General features: G+C 37.1%; 1 protein-coding gene across 7 annotated transcripts in view, besides 1 other annotated feature; it reads left to right on the top strand.

Annotated features, from left to right (window-relative positions):
• The window catches only part of CAMK4 (calcium/calmodulin dependent protein kinase IV), a 271,304-nt gene that overhangs the window by 221,139 nt on the left and 35,553 nt on the right, over window positions 1–14,612 (top strand). For all 7 annotated transcript variants that reach the window (XR_948303.3, NM_001323375.2, NM_001323374.2 and 4 more), the window contains 2 exons: window positions 1,965–2,055; window positions 4,408–4,482. Coding sequence is in view for 6 of the 7 variants with exons in the window: in NM_001323375.2 (NP_001310304.1) it covers window positions 1,965–2,055; window positions 4,408–4,482 (166 nt within the window). In the remaining variant the exon portion in view is untranslated. The remainder of the gene's footprint in view (window positions 1–1,964; window positions 2,056–4,407; window positions 4,483–14,612) is intronic.
• Window positions 2,970–3,560: an enhancer, noted in NCBI's record as "OCT4-NANOG hESC enhancer chr5:110783389-110783979 (GRCh37/hg19 assembly coordinates)". NCBI's record gives its function as "activates a minimal SCP1, AML or CMV promoter by ChIP-STARR-seq in primed H9 embryonic stem cells {active_cell/tissue: H9 hESC(primed)}" and the evidence as "EXISTENCE:reporter gene assay evidence [ECO:0000049][PMID:30033119]".

The following is a 14,612-nucleotide window of genomic DNA, read 5'->3' on the forward strand; positions in this document are numbered from 1 at the left end:
AGACTCCTTGCCTTCCCACATGAGGTAGGAAACGAGAGAGAGTATAGCACACTGGAAACTTTTTCTCTTAAACCAACAGAAACATGGGCAAATGTTATGAACAGGAAATTCATGGAAGAGGAAAACTGATTGACCGAGAAGCTCAACTATGCTAGTGAACAGAGAAAGGCAAATTAAACCAAACTTAAGACACAATCTTTGCACTCCAGCTCAGCAAAAGTTAAAACTACAGATTTAGCAAAGATATTAACATATATGCATACATTGTTTGTGTGAGTGAAAATTGATGGAGGCTTTTAGGAAAGTGATTTTGAAGTGTGTATTAAAATAAAAATGCTGTATGCCTTGACTCCACAACTGCACCTGCTTCCAGGTATCTGTCCTAGAAAAATACCAGCAGAAACACTCAAATATTCAAGTGCTGGAATGTTTATATTGTATTACTTGTAACTTTTTAAAAATTGAAAACAACTTGAATGTCCATTAAAAATGAATAAGTAAATTAATTATAATAAAAGATGCAAGAATTCAATAGAATACACTAAACTGATACGAAGGTAAGCCTTCAAAGATATTTTGTTAAGCAGAAAAAAAGCCACCTAAAAATTGTATTAATGATATATATAAGTAGGAAAATGGAGGAAACCAGGGATATTACCTTGTGTATATACATATGTAGTCTTTTTTTTTGGTTTGGTTTTTTGTTTTTGTTTTTGTTTTCTTTTGAGACAGGGTCTTGCTCTATCACCCAGGCTGGAGTGCAGTGGCATGATCATGGCTCACTGAAGTCTTAACCTCCTGGGCTCAAGTGATCCTCCCACCTCAGCCTCCAGAGTAGCTAGAACTACAAGGCATGCACCACCATCCCTGGCTTTTTAAAATTTTTCATAGAGATGGGCTCTTGTTATGTTGCCCACACTGGTCTCGAACTCCTGGACTCAAACGATCCTTCCACCTCGGCCCACCGAATTGCTGGTATTACGGTCATGAGCCAGTGTAATATACAGATGTCCTGAATATTTGATATATGTAAAGAAATCTGTTCATATAAACAAGTGACTCAGAACCTAGATTCACTAATGCCTAGAATGCTTTTTCTATGCATTAGTGAATCTAGCCCAGTGTATATAGACTCGTTTGTAAATGCATAGAAAAAATGTTCAAACAAACTTTTTGGGAAAAAACGTTTCAAACTGATGAGGGATTACTTTTGAAGAGGGGACTGGAACTGGATCTGGGGGAAGGGAAATCAGGTAGGACTTCAGCATTTACAATGAGAATATGTTGCATGTATGCTTATACGTGATTTTACAAAATAATTTAAAGTACAATAAAATGAGCAGAGTTGCTAGATGTGATCTTTGAGATTCATCTCAAATACAGCTTTCAACATCTATATTGACAGTTAGATTTACTAATTCTCAGAAGAGCCTATGAGTGCATCCATCATTATCAAACAGTATTTGTCTTGTTAAGGATAGTTCTCTATAATAACTCACATCTATATGTCTAAAATACTCACATCTATATGTCTGCTCAGACAATAATTATGAAGTCTTTGCTATACAGGTTTATAAGATCACACATCCAATTACGCTTTTTAGATAATAAGCCAGACAAATTTCAGTACACAGCACCTTGACATCATTATAGTAATTAGCTAATTCCAGTTGATATAGTAATATGCATAAAGAGAATTGTAACTAATATTAGCTGAGGAGTAAATATTTCATTCTGGGAATAGATTCTATACAATTTAAATTGCATCACATTTAGGTAACTATTTATAAAGTATTATTTAATGTATACAGTTTAAAACAGATTTTCCTTTATGGTACTTATTGTTAAGTCATACTATGTGTGTTCTTGAATCACATAACTTATAGTTCTTAAAAGATTAAGTATAGACATTCGAACCATAAATAGCATTACACAAATGTTATTTCATTATTTTCCCTCTTTAGTATCTACATGAAAATGGGATTGTCCATCGTGATCTCAAACCAGAGAATCTTCTTTATGCAACTCCAGCCCCAGATGCACCACTCAAAATCGGTGAGAACATTTCTTCTTGTTTTGTGACCCCTTTTTTCAGAGCAGAAAAAATTTTACTGTGTGGAATTTTTAAATATTGCTCCATCCAGTTTTACATCCATTCAGTTTTCCTGAATAATTGACATCTGTAAAGGAAATAATATGTTGTTTTGGAAGTTTTTGCTCTTTCCTGGAATGTTTATTTGGAAAATATTGCTTAGAAGTTAGTATTCTGTTGCTGGGCACACAAAGGAATCACAGCTTAGAAATGGCAAGGACCACAGGAGATGACCTTGTATTTTGTAAATAAGTTTATAGTGAACAAAATGATAGAAAAAGTAACACATCTTTTGGAGATATTAACTTTTATTCCACAGATTGCTTGGAGCTTAATTTTAGGTAATAAAGAACTTTGACATAAAATATTTAGCACATATTAGTGAGTCTAGGCTTTGAGTCGCTTGTTTATATGAACAGAGATAAATTAAGATCTGCCTTTCCCAAAATGCACTCCATAGAACACTGGTTTCTCAGCAGGGTAGATGAGGATGGGAGTGATTCACAGAAATGCTATGGCTGATCAACTAAGTTAGGAAATGCCAACTTTAAAAAAGTTAAACAAGATTTGTATTTCTGTAGGACTTTCCAGAACCTTTAACCTGTTAACATATAAATTTACATATTATATCATATTCTATGAGACTTTTTTAAAATTTTTACCAATAAGCATTTTGAAAAACTATAAAGGTGAACTTTGGGAAATTCTGATCTACCCAAAGAAACCTTTAATTAGCACTTTAGAAAAAAATAAATGTTACTTTCCAAGTATCTTCCAAAGCAAATCTTCATTTCAAAAAATATTGTAAACTTTATTTTCGATGAATTCTCACTAGTGGAATCTTCATTAAATCCTCTGAAGGGCATTGCTCTTCTGGTGCCTTCCTTATCGTGCTAATCTGCGAAGTTCACTGCATTTACAGATGTTAACACCTTTAACAATTAAGTTGTTCATATCAGGGAAGAGCTCAGATAACATAATGTGCTTTATGAATGCAAGAACCTAAGGAAAAAATCCTGAAAGTCCTGCTGGGCAGCCAGCTTGTTCTCATAATCACTCCTGTAAGGCAGGGGACAGCAGGCAGTTTCCATTTCCTTTCACATCACTTTCAAAGATTTAATCCTTAAAGCAATTTCTTTAAATGGATGGATAGATACTAATTTAGGCAGGAGAGGTTTTCTTTCTGAAGGGCTTCCTGCTGCTTCCACTGATAAGGATCAGGCACCTGCCAGGAAATGTGGGTTTATCTTTGAAGTCTAAAATGGAATTCATTCTGCACCTGCCTCTCTTGAAGAATGCCCTTGAATGGTTTCCTGATGTTTCCTGAGTGCAAGCGATATAGCTCAGCAAATAGTTCATAATGGTAGCAACTTTCGATAATCTTTTACCTAGGTAATATTCTGAGAAATAAATAAAAAGGATTCTTACCAAAAAAATCTTATAGTCTTCTTATGAGAGTAAATTCTTATAAGTGAAATACATTGGAGACTGAATGTATTTTCAAGCTGAACAAACCTTTTGATGTTTCTGTTAATTCTCGTGTCACTGATGAAAGTCTATTTTTTTTCTCCTCTCTGTCAATAAATTGAAGATTCTGGATTATATCATTAATTCTGTATTGTCCCTTAGAGTTACTGTTACATAAATTTCAGAAGTAACAACATTAGACAAAATATAACTATTGCAACTATTACTTTAAGAAAAAATAGCTTGGCTGGGCGCGGGGGCTCACACCTGTAATCCCAGCACTTTGGGACTGAGGTGGGTGGATCACGAGGTCAGGAGATCGAGACCATCCTGGCTAACACGGTGAAACTCCGTCTCTACTAAAAATACAAAAAAATTAGCCGGGTGTGGTGGCACGTGCCTGTAATCCCAGCTACTTGGGAGGCTGAGTCAGAGAATTGCTTGAACCCGGGAGGCAGAGGTTACAGTAAGCCGAGATCACGCCACTGCACTCCAGCCTAGGCAACAGAGCAAGATTCTATCTAAACAAACAAACAAACAAAAACAAGAAAGAAAGAAAAAAATTGCTTATTTGCTGAAAGCGGGGAATTGTACAGAAGAACAAAGATTAAATATAGATTTATTTGTAAATGTATTTGGAAGTCATATTTTTCTCCAATTTAAAGAAACACATGGATTGTTTTCTTTAGCTTCCTGTTGGGTGACTTGTTCCCACCCACCTTCACCCCATCATCAAATACAAAAGAAAGCAAATAGATAAATAAGTTAGTTTTATTTTTGAATAACAAATATTTTGTCATAAAAGCTGAGAAGACGTGCTTCATTAAATTTTTTTCTTGTGTTATTAGCTGATTTTGGACTCTCTAAAATTGTGGAACATCAAGTGCTCATGAAGACAGTATGTGGAACCCCAGGGTACTGCGGTATGCTCTTTAATAATTATATTTTACTTTTATTGTTATTTGAAATGTATTTTTGTTTAGCAATCTCATTTTTAAAAATTCCTAATATTTCTATTTATAAATGCTTAAAATTTGTTGCAAATCTCTATGAGGAAGGCATACATAAATAATACTCAGATCACTTCTTGTTTTCTATGAGAGGTTCAAGGATGTTGGTTTTAGGGCACTGCTGTTAGAATGCCTTTGAGCCAGTGGCTACTCTTAGACCCACTGGGCAGCAGAAAGACCATCACCACAGAGGGCAAGGAAACACCATCGTTTATAGTTGGAATTAAATCCATGGGCCCTTTGTCACTTTTCTTTGCTTTTCCTTGGATGGAGAGTGTGTGTTTAATTCAGATGGCATATAGGACGATGGTGAGAATGGGGTGGTCCCTAGTTCTTTCCATGGCCTGGCCTAGCCTCACTAAGACAAGGACTTCAGGTGAGATTTTCCTAGAAGAGTTCTCCAGTCCCTGCAGATGGACCACAACTACGTTGAGCTCTTCACATCTTCCCGCCTCATCGCCCAGAGTGGGCTGAAGGCATTGCAATCAGAAAGAACAAAAGCTTTTGACCCATACTAGCATAAAACCTGCTCTGTTTTTCTTGATGGTCAAATTAATTTGGCAACAACTTGAAAGCCAATAAAGTTTGTAAAAATTATCAAGAATTCCTAAAATTGTTGTGATTATTGAATATGTCACAGATCAATTAAAATTCTAATCTAAATTATAAAGAAAAAAGACAAGATTTCAAGTTATCAATCACAAGATTAGTGATCCTTTTCTCTTAGATCAGAATATTTTTACACAGGCCAGGTGTGGTGGCTCATGCCTATAATCCCAGCACTTTGGGAGGCCAAGGTAGACGGGTCACTTGAGGTCAGGAGTTCAAAGCTAGCCTGGCTAACATGGTAAAACCCTATCTCTACTAAAAAAAAATAAATAAAATAAAAATTAGCCAGGTATGATGGTGCACACCATAATCCCCAGCTAGCTCCTCAGGAAGCTGAGACAGGAGAATCCCTAGAACCCAGGAGGCGGAGGTTGCAGTGAGCCAAGATCGCACCACTGCACTACAGCCTGGGCGACAGAGACTCCATCTCTAAAAACAAAAACAAAGAGAATATTTTTACACAAATGTCCTTTATTTCAATTCATCTCTTCAGTGAACTGTTAATCACCTACTGTGTAGTCAAGCCAGTGTGTGGCACCAGGGAGATGCTTTTCCTGCCCTTACACCCACACTGGGGGCTCACAATCTACAAGAAAACAGACATGTGGCCAGATGCGGTGGCTCATGCCTATAATCCCAGCACTTTCGGAGGCCGAGGTGGGTGGATCACCTGGGGTCAGGAGTTTGGGACCAGCCTGGCCAACATGGTGAAACCCCGTCTCTACTAAAAATGCAAAAAATAACCCGGCATGGTGGCAGGTGCCTGTAATCCCAGCGACTCAGGAGGCTGAGGCAGTAGAATCCCTTGCACCTGGGAGGTAGAGGTTACAGTGAAGCAAGATTGCACCATTGCACTCCAGTCTGGGTGACAAGAGTGAAACTCCATCTCAAAAATAAAAGGAAAAATCCAGAAATGCAAACCAAGAAATTATAGCGTCTTAAGAAATATTGTGTTGTATGTATCGAAAGCCACCATGGAAACATAGAAGAAGGGTGATATTTTGAATTATCTGTCTTGTTTTCTATAGCGCTTATATTTGAGGTCACCCCTGCCCCAGAAATAGACAAAGAAGTACTACAAAACTAACTCCTTTTAACAACTTTTGAAATCATAAAAATCAGATAGGCGAAGTGCGATAATATATTCATTGAAGCATATATGTGATTAAATCCATAGAATTTTAGTGCTGGAAGGAACTTTAAAGTTCATTTATTAACATTCTAATCTTATTAAGTTCAGAGACTTTGACTTCACCAAGATTCCACATCTAGTTGTTAGTGGCTCAGGAATAAGAATCCAGGTATCCAAGGGCCTAAAAATCATAGAATTTCCCTGTACTATAGGGAAATTTATATATTTATAAAACTATAAATCAATATAGTTTTATTCATAGAAGTATTTATCAATTATTGCTTTTATTTTAAAATCTTCATTTTAATATATATATATTTTTTGAGACAGATCTCGGCTTATAGTAACCTTTGCCTCCCGGGTTCAATTGATTCTCATTCCTCAGCCTCCCAAGTAGCTGGGATTCCACCACACCCAGCTAATTTGTTGTATTTTTAGTACAGATGGGGTTTCGCTATGTTGGCCAGGCTGGTCTCGAACTCCAGGCCTGAAGTGATCCTCCAGCCTCGGCCTCCCAAAGTGCTGGGATTACAGGCATGAGCCACCATGTCCAGCTCATTTTAATTTTTTATACCTCAAAAGTATTACTTGGCCAGGTGCAGTGGCTCATGCCTATAATCTCAGCACTTCGGGAGGCTGAAATGAGAGGATTGCTTGAGGGTCAGAATTCAAGACGAGCCTGGCCAACATGGTGAAAAAAAAAACAACAACAAAATAATTAGCTGGGCATGTTGGCATGTACCTGTTGTCCTAGTTACTCAGGAGGCTGAGGCAGGAGGATTGTTTGAGCCCAGGAGTTAGAGGCTGCAGTGAGCTATGATTTTACTACTGCATTCCAGCCTGGGCAATAAAAGGAAACCTGGTCTCAGGGAAAAGAAAAAGTATTCCTTGGTCATTGGCAGAAATAAAAATCCAAATAACTATACTCAATATTAACAGCCTCCTGTGCATTCTCTTGTACTCTTCTATGTCTCCTTGTCCATCTAAGCATTTTATAATATTGTTTTAATGAGTTAGTATTAATTCTGGATGGAGAGTTCTTAGAAGGAACATTTTAGGTAGACATGAAGGATGAGTAAGAGTTCAACAAGTGAAGAAGTGGCCACAGGGCATTCTTTGTCAGTGGGTACAGGGAGAGCAAAGTCATGGAGGATTGGCAGCATCTGGTGAGTTTAGGTGCTGTTTGTCACTTTGTCAACTTTGTATGACTAGAACATAGAGTTTTTGGTACAGAGGGCACAAATGGACTTAGAAAGGTCGGATGGACCATGTGTTTAAAGAATCTATACATCAGGCTAAGGGATTCAGATTTGACTTGGTAGGTAATGGTGATCCAGCAAAGGTTTTTAATCAAGGCAATATTTTTAAATCAGGTCTGTATTTTGTAAATATCTTGATGATAACATTATGACATATTATGACATGAATTTAAGGGGGAAAGGGATAGAAAGAAAACAGACAAATTAGCTATTGTAAATGCTCTTTTCTACCACTCTCATGTCAGAAATCTACACACATGCTCATGTCCTTCCTTAGCTTCTCAGCAGATGACATGTTCAATCTATTCTTAAATCTATCTACTTTTTTAAAATATTTAAAAATTGTAAAAATACTGTTTTAATATATTGTCCTTTCCATAAACAGGCCCTTCATACAAATAATGCCATCTTATAATGGAGGCTTATTTTCTATTATTATTTTCTCTTGCAAATATCCGTTTCAGCCTAGATGGTAAATAATGAGGAAACAGAAATAAGAGGTTGAAAGTGACCAGGATAATTCTACTATAGGTAGTGGCTTATCAGGAAAAAGTAGTTTGCCATATTATAAGAAAAGGAAGTGAAAGCAGCAAGGAAGCTTGGCATGGGGGTTGGAAGGTAGACTCTACTTACCTTAGTGAACTATTTTGGGGATTGAGATGGAAAATAAAAGTGTTTTTTTGGCTCTAAAGTGCTAAACATAGAAATGTAATTACTATTATATAGGCGGGGGCAGTCTTGGAAGTCAAAAACAAGTAAGTTTAACATATTTCTTTAGCAGACAAAGGTTCCATTTCTATGTAAGTAAATACATATGTGTTCATACATACTCTTGACCCAAAGGAAATACACTAAAATATTACCTCACAATGGGAGCCAAAGAGGGGGTAGGATTTTAAGGATACACCTGTGTGTGGTAACATAGGAAACATTGGAAAACACTTGGGAAAAACAGAAGTCACAGTAATACTAGGGCCCAGGAGTAGATAACCTAGAGCAGAGGCAATATCTAGGGTTTTGAATTAAATACAAATTTTAATCTAGTTATGAATATTTGTTTCATCTATCTTATAAAAAATTAAATTGTTAACAGGTAAAGCTAAAACCCTCTCTGAAGATCAGTTCTAGCCCTTTCTTCCCTCACCACAGATAGATACTCTCATCAGTCTGGCATGTATCTTTCTGAGAATAAGTTGGTGGGGAGGAAACTGTCCATTTATAGAAGGAGTTGGAAATGAGAGCCAAGCTCAAGACTGGTGAGAATCATTATGATTCTATAGAAAGCAAAGAATTTACGCAGAGACTGTTTTATATTCTTTTATGGCCACAAGAGGAGACAGAGGAGAGCCTCAGGAAAAAAAAAGAAAAGTGTATTAAACTTACATATCCTAGAGACAGGAGGCACAGCAAGCCACCCAGGGCCACGCAGGAAAGAAGACACCAGGGTGGTCAGGAGGCAGAAGACAGGAGAAAGGGAAAGTTTAGACTACTGCCTTTTGGGGTATTTTCTTGGGAAAGGCAAGGCAAGGCAGGGTGAACAGTTTAGGATTGCCTAGTTTGAATAATTTGTGTGGGTTGCCTGGCTCCTGGCTCTTGGCCCTGGGATGACTAAGGCAGAGGAATATCCCCTCCTGGGGTGTGTAGGTCAGATGGATGAGGTATGGCACTGGACTGGTTAATCGGTATGTGAAAGGCATGCTCCAGGCTGGACGCTTTCTTATCTTTCAGAATTAACAAGCCACAGGAGAGACAGGCTCTCTGCAACCAGAAAAGCTTTTTAAGATGTCAAAAACATCATAATATATATAAAGAAAAATTTAAAATATTTACAATACAGAGACTTTACTTTGAACTTGAAAAAGTGTCTGACACCCATATAATTGACAGAGATGAGATGCGAGCTTGTTTCGTTGCTTGTTAGGATGATTATATCCAAGGTCGATTATCCTTAAGTGCACTGTGTCTAGTTTCTACTTTTAATGGAAGGCTTTTCAAATTACATCTTGTGAGAGACTGGGTGTTTATGTTATACCATCTGTCATTTCTCAGGAAGTAAAAAAGGAAAAGCCATCCATTCTGTCTCTTTCATAGAACCCTTGCCCCAGGCTATTAATAAACAGGGCTCTCCTATAAGTGAATCGCAAAAGAAAAATCACAGATGCTTCATGTTTAAGCAAATACTCATTATTTCCTTGGAAATGTGCCCAGTCAAAACCAAACTCCAGGCCAGAAAATTAAAATTTATGGTCCAGATAAGTGAAATCAATGATTAGTGTTCAAAAATAACCCATGAAGAGTTCAGTGTTGAAGGGATTCTCAACATCTTGTGGATGAGAAAATAAGTAGGTCACACAGACAAAAAAAAAAAAAAAAGAAAAAATCGATCAGGCCATAGCTCCTAATAAATGTGCTACAATATAACTATACAATATTAACTGCCAAAATGTTTTAACTGGTCTAGATATTTAAGGCTTGAAGTTTGTGGATGTTTCAAACCCACCCACGCCAATCCTAGAAAAGAAAATCAAGTTGTTAGAGTAGAAAAGAAACCACTATGTTAAGGGCTTAGGTAAAAAAAAATTATATCTAATACGAATTATCTAATTTATTCATAAGCTTAAGTATGTTCATATTTCATATTTGTACTTGTCTTTATTCAAATTCTATTTTCAGAGTCTACAAGCTGTTAGGAGTTTGTTTTCTTTTGGCATTTGCCAAGGTCTCATTAGTTCTGAGACAGTCCTACTGGCATAACTCAGAGGAAGTATTAATACATAAAAATGTCCCATGTGCTAAGCCTCTAAGCATAACAGTGTTTTGCTATTTTCAGGCTTTAGTAATGGCAAATATATATTGTGCTTCTATTTAAGCCAAAATGAAGGCTAATTATTAACAATTGAAGAATGAGTTCCTACGATATGCAGAAATCCCTGTACTTAGAGTCTGCAGGTGCCTAATTCTACAAATAATATTGTAGAATAATAATATTCTACAATAATATTCTGAGTTTCCATAAAGAAGGAATACATATATTTCATATATACTATGACTGATTCAGTCTTAAAAACTCTCATTGCTTGGTAACCAATTAATTCTGTCATAATTATCAATAATTATAAATGGAGGTGGTATAATAAAGAGATGATTAAATGTGGCACTTCAGCTATTGAATGTGAAGGCATGATGAAAGTGTAGAATGACAGGTAAAAGAGAGAGTCCCTCACCTTCCAGCTCTTAAAACTATCCTTGAATGATACCTCCCAAAGGATCAGCAAATAGTGATGGGCTAACAAAAGTCAGTGTCACCAACCTGATGTTCAGTATTAAAACCACACATATATTGCTCATCTACCCTAAGGCGTGGTAGGTCTCCACAGATATATGGGTGACTACAGGGATGGGCTGGCCATATTTGGCCCTGTTTACCTGATGCTCACAGGCATAGATTGCTGGTTGTTGTTGCTGTTGTGGTATTGTTGTTGTTCATGTTTTCATGCTTTACTAGGCTTGGAAGTCAGATGGCTGTTCCTACTTCAGGCTTGACCTTGAATATGTTAGTGAAACCCTCTAAATCTCAGTCTCCTCAACTATACAATGGGAATAATAAGAACACTTATTTCACAGGGCTATTATAAAGAATAAATAAGATAATGTATGTGAAGTTCTTGCACAGTACCTGGTAACTAAAACATGTAATGAATGTTAGGCATTACTAAAGTCATTATAATGAATATCATCATCCTCATCTTTTCTTATTACTGTTAAAAATGTATCAATTCCTTTTATTATGCAGTATGATTTTTCCATTTTGTCCTCACAAGAGTAAGTCCTAATATTCGGGGAGTTGGTTTGAGGTCTTTGAAATTACTACATCTCTGCCACAGTTCTTTAGTTTAGAAATAAAAACACTCATTAAAAAAAAATTTCTCGGCCGGGCGCGGTGGCTCACGACTGTAATCCCAGCACTTTGGGAGGCCGAGGCGGGTGGATCATGAGGTCAGGAGATCGAGACCCTCCTGGCTAACCCCGTCTCTTCTAAAAATACAAAAAATTAGCCGGGCATGATGGCGAGCACCTGTAGTCCCAGCTACTCGGGAGGCTGAGGCAGGAGAATGGCGTGAACCCAGGAGGCGGGGCTTGCAGTGAGCCGAGATAGCGCCACTGCACTCCAGCCTCGGCGACAGAGCGAGACTCCATCTCAAAAAATAAAAATAAAAATAAAAATAAAAATTTCCCCCTAAGATTTAAATGACATTGATGGTTCTAAACTTTATTGTTTATGGCCATTTTTAAATAGTTTTTTAGATTTTTAAACTTACTAAATATGAATGTGATAGTTCCTGAGAATGGAGAGTGGTTTTAATAGGGTAAACCATTAAAAAAAAGGTAGAGAAAAGAAATGGAATCTTTTTAAAGACTACTGGTTTTCCAAATAGTAGTTTTAGAAATTTTGGTATTTTTACTAGGTAAATATGACACTTCCTACTGGGTAAGTATGAAGTTACACTGAAAAATGTATCCTTCTGTGTAACTTAATATATACCTACTTAAAATTATTATTCCAAAATTGGAAATGATTGGACAAAAGATGGGATTTGTTCCTTAGTTTTGATGACTACAGGAAGACAAAGTCTCCTCAGTGATCAGACACTGAATGAAACAGGAGATATGCTGAAGTTCACTGAGTCAGTTCCAGCATCTGATCTGTCAGTGCCACTTTTGTGCTGGGAGTTCACTGCATTGTATTTATTTATGGAGGTCAATGAGCTGCTCAGAGATGACACTGTGCTCTGACAGCCTTTATCAGGGGAATTCAAGTTTCTTTGGATAGCTATGGGACTATGAGTTTCTGAAATTTTTACAACCACAGAAAAAATGAAGGATATTTTAACTTAATATTTTAATAGGTTAAAAGGATAAATTTAAGAGTACTTTATTAAAAATAAACAATAATCTTCTCTTCCTCACACACACACATTATGCAGAGCCATTTTCAAGAATCCAGGAACTAAAAAGCTTTTAAATAGGAATAATTTCTAGGGAGCTTATTGGAACATATCAAGCAGACCTTACATTTGAACATGTCCTATGAATATTACCATTGAAAGTATTTCTTAAAATGCTATTAACAGAACAGTTTCTAAGATGACACAGCACAATTAAGCAAGTCTTGTCTTCCATTAGTGCCCATTCATGATTTCAAGGATGATTCCACACACTTGCCACATTGCTACTTTGAAAAGAAATAACCCATTAGATTCACTATGCCAAAATTTAAGACAAATTTTCAACAGCTTATAGTTGAACAGAAGAGATCTCTGCTTAACTCTTAACAAAACAGAAAGTTGGGTTAGCCAATAAGCTACATTTTCTCTAACATGAACACATATGAAAAATGTAGGAAAATTTAAATAAAAGAAATACATCTCATAATCTAAAATAGAAACTTTTAGTATAGTTTCACAAAAGGCATAGTGTTTGTGTTCATTTCCAGAAGAATAAATAGCTTAAGTGAAATAATAAGAGTCTTAAATTATACTGCAATCCAATCAAGTAAAGGACGATCTCACCCAAGAATGAATTAAATACCCAAAGTGGCAACTTCATTTTTACAATGAACTTTTAAAAAATCTAGTTAATTAAATGCATGGTAAAATTCCAGTTGCACTGACTGTAACTTTCTACTTGACCGGCTCGTGTGCTGCACACTAGGGTTCCTGTGTGGCTTTTGGACAATGGGAAAACGACCATCAGGGAAGGGGAGAGGAAGTGAGGCAGAGAATGCTAACCAGGTGTGGAGGGTACCCCATATCCATCTCCCCTCCTGACCATAGCCCTACTTTCTCCCTAAGGAGATTGTGTCCCCAAGCCGTCATATAACTGCCACAGGCATGCTTGCAGCATCTGAGTCAGTTGAGTAGTGCCAGGTAAAGGAAAAGTAGGGACAGATACAGGGTGGCGAGGAAGGGTCATCCAGAGCTCATCTTGTTCTTGATCATGGAGAGGAAAGGGACTCTGCAGGTTGGGCATGAGCTTAGTTTAAGCTGTGTTAGAAGTTTGAAATCTGAAGAAAACTGCGTCTTTGGAGTCTTTATATTGGTTTCGTACTGCCCTGAACAAAGCGGTTTCTCTGGAACTTTAGTTGTGTAAAACAATCAGGTTTTTTGTCATTTATTAAATATTTGTTGTGCTTCTATGCACTAGGCACTGTTGTATGTTGTAAAGACATAGCAGTAAAAACCAGACCAAAAGAACTCTTCCTTAAGTATACTGTAATACATTTTAGTGGGAGAAACAACAATACACATGTAAAATATACAGAAAGAGGTGATAATTTCCCATAGAAATTATAATATAAAGTTGGAAAAGGAGCCTGGGTTACAGTTTAAACAAGGTAATTAAGGAAGGCTTTGTGTTAGAATGGAATATATAAGCAAAAATTTGAGAGAGGAGAGAGCAAACCACATACATACCTAGTGAAAGAATGTTCTAGGTGAAGGGGATGGGGCACACTAATCCTGAGGCAAGAACACACCAGGTGTCTTTAAAGTCCACCAAGAAGGTTAGTTGGTTGATTGGAATGCAGTGACAAGGGCAGAAAATAGTAGATAGGAGAGGGGATAACTAACAACTGAGGGAATGGAGTTAACATTTCCTGAGATGGGAAGACATCGGAGCATCAGGCTTGGGACTTGTTAATTTCTACATGTCTGTTAGATATCCAAGTGGAAGTGACATGTGGGCAGAAGGGAATATATGGTCCACATGTCAACTTGGCTACTGGTATCAATGTGGGTGTTACCAGCATATAGACGGTATTTCAAGTCATGAGACTATCAGGCATCCCCAAGGCAGAAAAGGAGACAACCCAGACTAATGCTTCAGCAACACCATCATTAGTAGGCCAGAGAGAAGAGAAGGAACATTTATTATTTACAGAAATTCAAATAGTAGAGGAAGCTCCACAAGGCAGAAGTAGGAATTGTGATGGATGTTGCAAGGCACAGATTTCTGGCTCAATATACAAGACAACATTCTAACAA

This window comes from Homo sapiens, chromosome 5 (genome assembly GCF_000001405.40).
Source record: "Homo sapiens chromosome 5, GRCh38.p14 Primary Assembly".
Taxonomy (NCBI): Eukaryota; Metazoa; Chordata; class Mammalia; order Primates; family Hominidae; genus Homo; species Homo sapiens.